This window comes from Homo sapiens, chromosome 7 (assembly GCF_000001405.40).
Source record: "Homo sapiens chromosome 7, GRCh38.p14 Primary Assembly".
In the NCBI taxonomy this organism is placed as follows: domain Eukaryota; kingdom Metazoa; phylum Chordata; class Mammalia; order Primates; family Hominidae; genus Homo; species Homo sapiens.
The window spans coordinates 20613490-20626931 of NC_000007.14; the positions used below are offsets into that span (position 1 = coordinate 20613490).

A 13442-nucleotide genomic window follows, 5' to 3' on the forward strand; every position below is an offset into this window, starting at 1 on the left:
ATCTACACAATGGAAGAAAATATTTGCAAACCACATTTTGAATAATGCGTTAACACCCAAAGTATATAAGAAACTCATACAACTCAATAACAAAAAGACAAATAACCCCATTTAAAAGTAGGCAAAGACCCAAATAGATATTTTTTCCCAAATAAGACATACAAACAGCCAACAGGTACATGAAAAGGTGCTCAACATCAGTAATCATCAGAGAAATACAAATAAAAAACACAATGGGATATCACCTTCTAGCTTTAGAATGGCTATTATAAAAAAGATAAGAGGTAACAGGGGTATGGAAAAAGGGAACCTTGTGCACTTTTGGTGGGAATGTCAATTGGTACTGCCATTATGGAAAAGAGCATCAAGTTTCCTAAAAAAATTAAAAACAGAATTGCCATCTGATCCAGCAATCTCACTTCTAGGTATATACCCCAAGGAAATGAAATCAGTATTTCAAAGAGGTATCTGCACTCCCCTGTCCATTGCGGCATTATTCTCACCAGCCAATATATGGAAACAACCAAAGTGTCCATTGACACATGAATCGATAAAGAAAAGCAATATTATTCAGTCATAAAAAAGAAGGGAACTTTGTCATTTGTGACAACGTGGATGGAACTGGAAGACATTATGTTGTGTGAAATAAGCCAGAGATATGTGTGAAATCCAAAAAAAGTCAAACTCCTAGAAGCAGACAGTAGCATGGTGGTTACCAGAGACTAGGAGGTGGAGGAAATGGGGAGATGTTGGTCAAAGGGTACAAACTTCCAGTTATAAGATGGGTACAGGATGGTGACTACAGTTAATAATTCTGTATTGTATATTTGAAATTTGCTAAGAGAGTAGATCTTAAGCGTTCTCACCAGACACGCACACACACAAACACGTAAATATGTGAAGTGATGGATGTGCTCATTGCAGTAATCATTTCACAATGTATATGTATATCACATCATCATGTTGTAAACCTTAAATATAGACAATAGTATTTGTCAATTATACATATTAAAGCTGAATAAATAAAATAAATTAATTAAAATTATATAAAACTCAAAATTCAGCTCCCTCACTAGGCACATTAAAAGCGCTCAATAGCCACATATGTGTAGCGGCTAGGATATTGGATGTGTGGAGAATATCTCAATTATTGCAGAAAGTTCTGTTGGATGGCTCTGCTCTAGAAGTAACACTTTTAGCTACATTACACCACTTCTGTGCATTTAGATGACATCATGAGATTTTTAAAGCAAAATTAATTATTCCTTCTGTGCATATGACAATTGCAAGTTTATCTCTAGGTTGGCAATTTTCCTAATTATTAGTGCCACATTTACATCTGTTTGCCAGATATTTTCACTTGGACACCAATATCAACCCAAATTTGCATATTTAAACTGAATGTTACCATTTCCCCAAAACCAATTCTGTCTCATAACTTCTCTATTACCATCTTTACTACTCTTTTGTTACAACTTTTAAAAGTTTGATCGCTGAACTTATATTTTTTTTATTTCTTCTTCCTTGTCCTCTTTACCTACCTACCGCCTTAAAAATACCTCTCAAATAGTCTTACTTACTGCTATCAAACTAGATTTTAATGAGTCTACTTAAATCTTGTGTTTCCCCAAGTCCTTCCAGTATATCCATGGCTGTAATGTCAAATAATCAGGTTAATTGTACCAAATACCAATGGCTTTGTCTCTTTCATTCCAGAAAATTATAAAAGTTGTCCTAAAAATTGGTTCAGTGCCTTTTACAATCGTATGTACCTTATCTCTCTCTCCATTTCTGCATGAACAGTCCATCCTATCCAAACCGTTCTCATTTCTCTACCATGAGATAATTCACCTTGCATTCCTAAAACTATGCCCTTGTTCCTCCTCCACATTTTTCTACTTACTGAAACCTTAGCCTTCCTCCAGAAACTAACCTCAGGGCCATCCTCATCTGTGGGCGAAACCATTTTAGATCACAATGTTCTTCCTCAGTCTTCTTAGATACTAGAATAGTCACTCTTTGTACTATTCATCACATAACGTCTGTCTTGCCAGGTATATTAGGTTCCCCTAGAGAAATAGAATCAATAGGCCGTGTGTGTGTGTGTGTGTGTGTGTGTGTGTGTGTGTGTATGTAGAGAGAGAAAGAGAAAACACGCTCATGTAATTGTGGTGACTGGCACTTCCAAAATCCACAAGCCAGACTAGAAGGCTGGAAATTCTGGCAAAAAATTGATACCTTGTATCTGAAAGCTTTATCCTATCCTCTTCAGAAGACTTCAGTCTTTTCTCTTAAGGACTTCAACTGACTGGATGGGGCCCACTCAAAACAGCATCTAAGGAATTAAAGTAAGTCAAAGCAAAAGTATTAGAGATTATGAAAACAATTGAAGCTTGTGAAGAATATAAAACACTTCTCCATCTTAGAAAGAATAGTTTGTGGTAAAGATGGAAACAAAAATGTGTGTGTATGAAACTTTTTCATAGTCAGAAATGATCATCCTACTATTATTTTGGTCATTTTAAAGCATCCATACAATTCATATCTTCTTTCTTTCTTTCCCTGTGACAGGGTCTCACTCTGTCACCCAGGCTGGAGTGCAGTGGCACGATGTTGGCTCACTGCAACCTCCGCCTCCAGGGTTCAAGAGATTTTCCTGGCTCAGCCTTCTGAGTAGCTGGGATTGCAGGTGCCCAGCACCATGCCCAGCTAATTTTTTTATTTTTAGTAGAGATGGGGTTTCACCTTGTTGGACAGGCTGGTCTCGAACTCCTGACCTCAGATGATCCAGCCGCCTTGGCCTCCCAAAGTGCTGGGATTACAGGCATGAGCCACTGCGCCCAGCCATATCTTCTTTCATCTAACCAAAGATCCCATGTTTTCCATCCAACCAGTATATCTTAGCTATTTGTCAGATTATTCTTACCAAGGATGCTTGAACGTTAAGTGCATCTCATGATTTCTTCTCACATGGGTATTTTGTCCTATGATTTCCATCTTGGTACATGAACCTAGAAATATTTTTTAAGGCAAAAGTCCTTATAAATAAAATATTCTGTCTATTTTTACATTTTCTTGTATGTTCCATAGTACTTGCCATGATAGCATCCACACAGCTGTCAATAAGTAAGAATTGGCTGACTGATAGATTTTGTGTAGAGCAATTAAGATGTTCAGAGTTCTTCTCTCATGTTATCTACTTAGTGCTGGATATTACTACCTGATTATCTCACAAATATCTCAAACTTGACAAGTTTCAAGTTAAATTTATCTTCCTTTTGAAACATTGGGTAACAGAGAGGAACATGGGGGCAGCCATCATAGTCAACCTGTAGCTTTCCATACAGTGAGGACCTGCCAACTGGCTCACAAATTGCTTTGACCTTGTGTCGCTTTGTCTCAGTGCACTTTTCTCTACTATCTAAATAGTATTCCTTCTGCCTGGGATAGTCTTTTTGATCTTTATATAGCAACCTCCTTTTATAATTCAGATTGCAGCTTAAACATTATCTTCTACAAGGGGCTTTCTCTGACCAGATGTATATAAATACCACATTACTCTTCATAAAATTACCCTGTTTTAATTATATACCAAAAACTGACCACTCTCTAATTTTCCTTATTTATGTATGCCTTTTTTTAAAATTGTGACTCTCCCTGTAATGGAGTCTAAGCTCTATGACAGCAAAGATGTCTAGGCTGTTCAGTGCTTAAAACAGTACCTGGCACAGTATATATCTATAGAATGAGTAAATTTTTTTAAAAAATCATCTAATGAGCTTGTTTAAAATGTAGATTTTTTTCCAGTGCATTTCTTTAGATTATCATTCAGTACATGTGGGGCAAGGCCTAGGTAGGTGTCTGATATCTTTAACATGCACTCCAGGTGATTCTGATGCCAGAGGTCCTTTGACAATACTTTAAAACTGTGCTATTAACAGCAGATAAAAACAATATGTTGTCAGCACTAAGGTGTATTTTAAACTTTATTTTTATAATCTTGGATTTAGGAAGATAAAATTTCCTCTAGATAAGTAGTGCCTTCTGTTTCTCAAGGCTTTGTGCTAGATACTATATAGTCATGTTTCTCAAAATTTGATATGCATTACAAACCACTTCGACAATCTTGTTAAAATGCAGATTCTATTCAGAAGTTTTAGAGTGAGACCCAAAAATCGCATTTTTATAATGGATTAAAAATATATAATCTAACTGTATGCTGTCAATAAGAGAATCATTTTAGATCTAAAGGCAAATAGGTTAAAATCAAAAGGATAAAAAGAGATAATCCTGCAAATATTAACCAAAAGAGAGCTGGAATGGTTATAGTAATATCCAGACAAGTTACACCTCAAGTCAAAACCTTTTATAAGAGACAACAAAGAACATTAGATAGTGATAAAACAGTCAAATCACCAAGAAGATATAACAACTATAAGCACACAGCCACAAAATATCACAGCTCCTAAATAAACACTGACAGAAGCAGAGAGAAATAAAAACTTCTGTAATAATGGTTAGAAACTTTAAGATTACCCTTTTTTGCTAACAGCTTTATTGAGATATAATTCACATATCATAGAATGTACCCATTTAAGATGTACAATTCAAAAGTTTTTGTATATTCATAGAGTTGAGCAGCCATCACCACATTCAATTTATAGTGGTTTTATCATCTTGAAAAGAAACCCTGTATCCCTCTCATTAGCTGTCATCTCTATTTCTCCTCCACCCAGCAACTACTAACTTACTTTTTTCTCTATGGATTTGCCTGCTCTAGGCACTTCATATTAATGGAATTATATAGTATGTTGTCTTTCGTGATTGGGTTATTGTACTTACCATAATACTTTCAAGGTTTATTTATGTAGCATGTATCAGTATTTCATTTATATGGCTATCTTCACCTTTTATATAATTTCAACTTTTATTTTAGATTTAGAGCTTACCTGTGCAGGCAGGTTTGTTACATGAGTTCATTGTGTGACACTGAGGATTGAGGTGTGAATAATCCCTTCGCCCAGGTAGTGAGCATAGTACTCGGTAGGTAGTTTTTCAGCACCTTCTCCCCTTCCTCTCTCCCACCTCTGATAGTCTCCAGTGGCTATTTTTCTCATCTTTATGTCCATGTGGACCCAATGTTCAGCTCCCATTTATCAGTGAAAACATACAACATTTGGTTTTCTGTTTCCATGTTAATTCACTTAAGATAATAGCCTCCAGCTGCATTTATGTTGCTACAAAAGATTTCATGGCATATATGTGCTGCATTTTCTTTTTTTTTTTTTTTTTTTTTTTTTTTTGAGATGGAATCTTGTTCTGTCACCCAGGCTGGAGTGCAGTGGCACGATCTCAGCTCACTGCAACCTCCACCTCCCGGGTTCAAGAGATTCTCCTGCCTCAGCCACCCAAGTAGCTGAGACTACAGGCATGTACCACCATGGCAGGCTAATTTTTGTACCTTTAGTGGAGACGGGGTTTCACCATGTTGTCCAGGCTGCTCTCAAACTCCTGGCCTCAAGTGATCCACCTACTTCGGCCTCCCAAACTGCTGGGATTACAGGCTTGAGCCACCATGCCCAGCCACGTACCACATTTTCTTTATGCAATTCACCATCGAAGGCACCCAGGTTGCTTCCATGTGTCTGCTATTGTGAATAGTGCTGTCATAAACATAAGAGTGCATGCGTCTGTTGTGTAGCATGATTTATTTTCCTTTGGAATTGTTGGGTTGAATGGTAGTTCTGTTTTAAGTTCTTTGAGAAATCACCACACTGCTTTCCACAGTGGCTGAACTAATTTACATTCCCACCAGCCTTATATAAGTGTTCCCTCTTCTCCACAGCCTTGCCAGTATCTGTTATTTTTTGACTTTTTGATAATAGCCATTCTGATTGGTGTGAAGTGGTATCTCATTGTGGTTTTGATTTACAATTTTCTCATGATTAGTGACGATTAGCATTTTATGTTTGTTGGCCACTTGTATGTCTTCTCTTGAGAAGTGTTTGTTCATGTCCTTTGCCCATTTTTAATGGGGTTATTTGTTTTTTTGCTTCTTGAGTTAAGTTTCTTATAGATTCTAGATATTAGACCTTTGTAGGATGCAGAGTTTGCACATATTTTCTCTCATTTTGTAGGTTATGTGTTTACTTTGTTGAAGTTTCTCTTGCTGTGCAGAAGCTCTTTAGTTTACTTAGGTCCCATCTGCCAATTTTTGCTTCTGTCACAATTGCTTTGAGGATAGGCTGTATATTCTTTGCCAAGGCCGATGACAACAAGGATATTTCTTAAGTTTTCTTCCAGGGTTTTTATAGTTTCAGGTTTTACATTTAAATCTTTAATCAATCTTGAGTTAATTTTTATCTATGGTGAAATGTAGGGGTCCAGTTTCATTCTTCTGCATATGGCTAGCCAGGTATCCCAGCACCATTTTTTGGAGTCATTTCCCCATTGTTTATTTTTGTTGACTTTGTTAACGATCAGATGGCTATGGGTGCCCTGCTTTATTTCTGGGTCCTGAATTCTGTTCCATTGATCTGTGTGTCTCTTTTTGCACCAATACCATGCTGTTTTGGTTACTGTAGCCTTATAGTATACTTTGAAGTCAGGTAATGTGATGTGTTTAGCTTTGTTCTTTTTCTTTAGGATTGCTTATAGATTAGAAAATATCAGAAAGGACAGTCTATTTAACAAGTAAAACTGGATATCCACATTCAAAAGAATGAAGTTGAACTCTTACTTTACACCATATAAAAAACCAACTCAAAAATAGGTTAAAGACCTAATCATAAGTGTGAAAATTATCCAACTCCAGAAAAACACATGGGAAAAAATTTTTGACACTGGATTTGGCAAAGATTTCTTAGATATGATGCCAAAAACACACACAAAAACAATAAAAACGTAGATAATTTTTTCTTCAAGATTGAAAACTTTTGCTTATTAAAGGAAACTACCCAGAGAGAAGAAAGACAATCCACATAATAAAACAAAATATTTGCAAATCACGTACTTAATAATATCCAGAATATATAAAGAACACCTACAACTTACTATAAAAAAAAACCAAAAACCTAATTTTAAAATGGGCAACAGATTTGAATAGACATTTCTTCACAGAAGATATACAAATGAGCAGTAAGCATATGAGATACTCAACATCACTAGTCATTAGGGAATTGCAAATCGCAACCACAATGAGATACCACATCACACCCACTAGGATTTCTATTGTCCATTAATCAGAAAATAACAAGTGTTAGTGAGGACATGGAGAAATTGAAAGCCTTGTACATTGCTCGTAGGAATGTAAAATAATACAGCTGCTAAGAAAAACAGTATGAATATTTCTCAAAAAGTTAAACATAGACTAACCGCTTGATCCAGCAATTCTACATCTAAGTATATACCCAAAAGAACTGAAACGAGGATACTCAAACAAATACTTCTATGCCAATGTTCACAGAAAACATTATTCACAATAGCCAAAAGGTGAAAACAATCCAAGTGTCCATCAACAGATGTGTCACTTTAAAAAAATGTACTATATATGTGCACCAGAATAGTATTCAGCCTTAAAAAGGAATAAAATTGTGATACATTGATGAACCTTGAAAACATTATGTTAAGTGAAATAAGCCAGATACAAAAGAAAAAATATTGTATGATTCCATTTATGTGAGACACCTACAATAGTCAAATTCATAGACCCAGTAAAACAGAGGTTACCAGAGACTGCCAGTAGGAGATAACAGAAGTTATTGTTTAATGGATATAGAATTTCAGTTTGTGATGATGAAAAAGTTCTGAAGATAGATATGGTGATGGTTATACAACATTGAGTATGCACTTAATCCCACTGAATTGTGTACTTCAGATGGTAAAATGTTAAATTTTGTTATGTATATTTTGATAAAATTAAAAGACTTTAAAAAAGTTCTGCATTTTTAATCATGTCTAGGCTGGTGCCTATGCTGCTGCTCTTGGGACCATTCTGAGTAGTAAGACTACGGTCTAGAGTAAAGAATAAAACATGGGGTTCCTCAGGAAAAGGAAACATATCTTTTGATTCTACAAACTAGTAGCTGGCACATCATATAAGCTCAATACTTTTTTCAATTCTTCATGAGGAAAGAGAGAAAAATATATGATCTAATAGGGTAACTAGGATTTGCAATATAATGCAGAATGTGTCACGAATATAATACAGACACAAGCAAAGAGCAAAAGGAAATCAGAGAAGGAGGTGATTTTTAGGGAGCAATAATAAAGTAATAAAATCAACGCCTTGCGTAAAGTATTACTCAATAAATATTTCTTGTGCAAATGTGCTGTTGACTTGTTAAAATTTTACCTATTATAATTAAGAATTCAACCAACTAACCAAAAAGATATGGGACTGTGCAATAGAAAACCAGGTATACAGACACTATGGCTCTTTTTAAAAAGAGTGTTTATTTGGCTCAGTGGACTTCCTTTGCTCATACTGTTTCCCAAGTGCAGTATGACATGAAGAACACAACGTGCTTTACCTGGATACTAACCAGTGTTCTAATCAGTTACAGCATGATCAGAAGATAAGCTTGGTAAAGCACAGTTATGAAAGTGCAGCTCATTATTTATTGAGAATAGAACGCATACATGATTTTGGTTTAAATGGACAGATCATGCACTTACCAAGGCGAGGCTTAATTGTTTTGATTTCTTTCTATGGATGGATGCATTTCATTACATAATTGTTAATTTCTATAAAATGCAAATGTTTGAGATTTGTCAATCATTTTATTTTTCTTACATACATGTCAGATTACTGGAGATGGTGTAAAGTCAGTTTAGCAGTTGTAAATATCTCCCATATGAAGTATGACCATTTACTTCTGTAAAAGGAAGAATAAGCCAACAGATGGCTGTATTTGTATTATGCCTTCCTCCTTGGTGCTAAAAGCAGTTCTGATCCACTTTCAATGAGAAGTTTACTATTTGAAAGCTTATTAGCTTTTTCAGATGCTTAGGTACTCTTTAATTAATTTGTAATTCCACTTTAAAGTTTAAAGCCATATCTTTATAATTGTCTTTATATAGGGTAATATGTTATAGGGCCTAACAACTGAGACTGAGTCACAACCATCTCTATAGATCCATAATAAAATGATAATTTATAATTTATGAACATAACTGTGATCTTAAGACAAGGTAAGATCCTCAAGTATCATCCCAAGGAAGAGTAAATTATGCTTAATACAATTTTAATGATGAATGGATTTTCAAAATATTCTAATTTTTTGTAACTGTTAATCCAGTTTGTGAAAGCTCCAAACTTTGTTTGTTTCGTAAACTAGAAAACCCTATTCCCTCAAACTGCTGGCTAATAAAAACTACTGCATCAGTTTTTTAAAGAGAAAACAGCATGAGATAGATTAAAAATTTTCACCAATTCCAGTCAAATGAATGGCAAAGTAGGAATATCTAATATCCTGACAAACAGTGCATTTTCCGTGGAATCTGACTTTCCTTCTTTTATTCCAATTCTAACACTTTCATTAGCTCCAAATCTAAGCCTAGAATGAAGCAAGGAAGTTATAAATTCAATGACAAAATTTGAATCTATGAACTGCCTAGCCAGAAACTTCAATTGGAGTGGGGGGCTGGGCAGGGCGAAATTCTGAGATGCTTCCTTTTTCAAACTGTGAGAGATGTGGGATGTAAAGAATGCTGTATATCAACTAAGTGATAAAAGTCACATAGCCATAATACATTTGTTAAAATTGTATTTCAGAAGAAGTAAATTGTAAATAAGATGGAAAATTCAGAAAGAGCTGAAGAAATGCAAGAAAATTATCAGAGAAATGGGTAAGCTCTCACTAAGTTCTGTAAGTATGCTTCCACAACTTCAAATATAACTCATCCTTTCCACACCTATAGCAAAAATGTTTATAATTTTTTCCCAAAAATAGCAACACTATTTGCATTTTGCTGAACTTGAACATAAGCAGTCTTATAATTAATTTAATAGTGATTTTAGGAACTGCAATAGGATTAATTGTAATAGGATTTATTTATCCAGGATTTATTGATTTAGTGCTTCAGATATCTCCTCTTCTGAATTTCTCATCGTTAATTTCTTGTCCACCATTATACAGAAGAAAGGCACCTGCAAATTTTAATTTCAATTCTCTGTGGACCCTTCATTCCATGTGGTACCTTTAATAAAAGAAAATATTCGATTCCGATTATTTTCTCTCTGAATAGATGTCTCTGTGAATATGTATGTTATACAAGTTTCTACACGTGGAATTCATTAATTGAGAGTTTTTAAATGGAAATAGTTTTACATCTATTTTATTTCCACTTTTACCATAATAATTGTGTTATATTTGGACATACAATCTATAAAACTGGAGAAGATCCCTCCAGGTCATGTAGTTTATTAATTCAGAAAATAGCCAGAGAGGGCATTCCAGCGATACCATTTTCTTGTGAGTCAGAATCAGAAACTTCCTTAGGCTAAAGCAAATTCCATTTAGGAACATTTTGAAAATCAAAAGAACTGCATTCCAAACTTCTCCTTTAATGTTTTTGTTGTTATTTTCCCAAAGTAAATGTTCTCCTTTCTAAGCACCTTTTCCTCATAAATTCAAAACATTATCTAAAGATGCCCCAGCATCCTGGTGTAAGGGGATGCTGAGGGGACAGGTTTATTTTAGAATACATTTGTGCTCTTAAGCATTACCTGTGGACTGACTAAATCATGTGTTCGGCATATATTCCACAGGAAGCATTGTAACTGTACAGTTAAGAGTTTGGGTTCTGGCGTCAGACTGAAGTTCAATCACTAGCTACATAAACTTGGGTTGTTTTACCCTGTGACTGTTTCTTCATCTTTAAAGTGGTCATGATAATAATACACTACAGACCTCATTGGTGAACCAAAAAAACTAACAGGTCAGTAGCAATACCAACAGCAAACTGCATCTATATGCTATCGCACAGAAAATTAGAATGGGGAGGTGGTTGATTTTTCTAGTTTCCATGACTGGAGAGAATAGGAGAAAACAATATGAAAGAAAATAGCAACAGGAATTGAAGGTAGGGGTTGGATGGGCCCTGAAAAGTGAAATTAGTGAGATATAGGTGTGGGGTCTGGCCATGAAATACAGGAAGGATTCCTATTAGGTGGAGGTGACACAACTGGAGCTAAGAGCAGAATCTTCGCTGCTCTGGGCCATGCTGATTTGCGCTAATGAAAGTACTGGGCCACCAACATCGCTAAGATCCCCTCCAGCTTGAAAACCAGCAACGGGCACGCTAGGACTAGGAGCTAGTGCGGCTGTGACCCGCACAATGGAATCAGTTTCCTCTGGGCGCCTCAGGCTCCGCCCTTGGCCTTTGCCAAAGGACACTTGGCCCCAAGAGCTGTGTAGAGGGAGGAGACCCCCAAACCCGCCCACCTGCCCACATGTTGCTTTCTTATGTCAACGCTGATAAAGAGACTTTCACAAAACGACCCAAGCCCTCCTTCGAAACCTTTCCATGAAGGTCAATCGGAGTTAGAAATTATTTCCCTGAAACAACTTTTATCAAGAGAAGAGGGTTTACTGGGTGTTAAGCTTCAAAATCCGCATCTAGAGGTGAGGAAAGGGATTGTAGGGTTTTGCAATGGTAAAGCATTCTTTTGTCATCTCATGCCTCAGCCCAGAGCAAATTGACCGGAACTCAAGTAAATTATTAACCTCATGTGGAATAAAATTAAGTGAATTGTCATTTATCAAAGCTGACAGAACAATGCGTTATAAAGCAGGAGAGGAGCCGGATGTTTGTCTTCCTGTTGTGTCTGTATAGAAAACTTAAACTGTTCCCTACAGTCTTCTCTTAATGTTTCAGAATTTTGCGCGTGCATGTGTGTGTGTGTGTAACTGACAGATTGCTGTGAAATCAGTGGATACAATGTACAGCTTTCATTTGGACCTCCTTGAAATGTGAGCATACAAAGCTAAGAAATGAAATTTTCAAAAAGGGAGACAAAATTAAGAGTACACTTGCTTAATGTGTACCTAATAGAACTCATTTCATTTAAAGCTCAGATTTTGTTACTAAAGGTTAAAAATTGCAATCCACCACTTCATACTCATTATGATGGCTAATACTAAGAAAAGAAAAAGGAATGAACAAGTGTTGGTGAGGATATAGAGAAACTGGAATCCTTGTTCTGGCAGGAATGTAAAATGGTGCAGTTGCTATGGTGCAGTGTGAATGTTCCTCAAAAAATCAATAATAGGTTTAACATGTAACCCAGCAATTCTACTTCCGGGTATATACTCAAAAGAATTAAAACCAGTGAGTTGAAGAGATATTTGTACACTCATATTCCTAACAGCGTTACTAGGAATAGCCAAAATGTGGAAGCAGTCTAAGTGCTCAACAAAACGTGGCAAAAACATATAATGGAATACTATACAGCCTTAAAGAGTAGAAAAATTCCAACACCTACTACAATGTGGATGAAACATGAAGACTTTATGCTAAGTGAATAATTCAAGGATGAACTTTGAAGACAGCCAGACGAAACAGACACAGAAGGAGAAATGCTATATGATTCTATTTTTCTGAGGTGCCCAGAGCAGTCAGATTCATAGAGGCAAAATAGAACCGCGGTTGCCAGGGGCTGGGAGATGGGGACAATGGGAAAATGTTTAATGTGTACAGAGGCTTAGTTTTGCAAAGTAAAGAGTTCTGTGGGTAAATCAAAATAAATGGTGGCACAACAATGTGACTGTACTTAGTACCTTGGTTATACAATTAAAATTATTCAAGAAGATAAAGTCTACATTATATCTATTTTACCACAACTTTAAAAAATTCTCCTCCAGACACGTCTTCAAGTTGCTACCCTAACAAGTTTACAGACAACCAGTGACAACTGTCTATCATTAAGTTTATTTTTAAAATTTCAGTGTTGGTATAAATTTGCTACCAAGGTGATATCTGACACTTCTGCAAACTATTAATGGAAAAATTTTGCAAATTATATTCACATTGTAACTGCTGCATTTTGAACTTTTATTTTCCAGAACTGCAGAAGAACAGCCAAAACTGAGAAAGGAAGCAGTTGGATCTATTGAGATAGTAAGTGAAATCAGTTAGAAAGTACATGCATTAGAAGATTTTAGAGACTTGTCAGTAGTGCATAGAAGATTGTGTTTATTAGATTGCATCCACTATTTGTGGGAAAGAGGGAACTAAAATAATTCATTAAAGTATGATTTTCGATAGAAAAAATATAAACAATCTCAAAATTTTACAATAAAGGATAGGGAAAAATAGCATAACATCCACATAATGACTCAGTGTTTTAAAAGTGTTTTTGGGGTGTGTGTGTGTGTGTGTGTGTGTGTGTGTGTGTGTGTATCATACATAAATGTTACCAAAGGATATTTCTGAGTGGT

At 35.7% G+C, this 13442-nt stretch overlaps 1 protein-coding gene across 1 annotated transcript in view; it reads left to right on the forward strand.

Annotated features, from left to right (window-relative positions):
- Positions 1–2177: 2177 nt before the first annotated feature.
- Positions 2178–13442, forward strand: part of ABCB5 (ATP binding cassette subfamily B member 5) — a 141342-nt gene continuing 130077 nt past the window's right edge. The window contains exons 1-3 of the mRNA NM_001163941.2: positions 2178–2348; positions 9776–9849; positions 13068–13122. Coding sequence (NP_001157413.1) covers positions 9797–9849; positions 13068–13122 — 108 coding nt within the window. The 5' untranslated portion in view covers positions 2178–2348; positions 9776–9796. The remainder of the gene's footprint in view (positions 2349–9775; positions 9850–13067; positions 13123–13442) is intronic.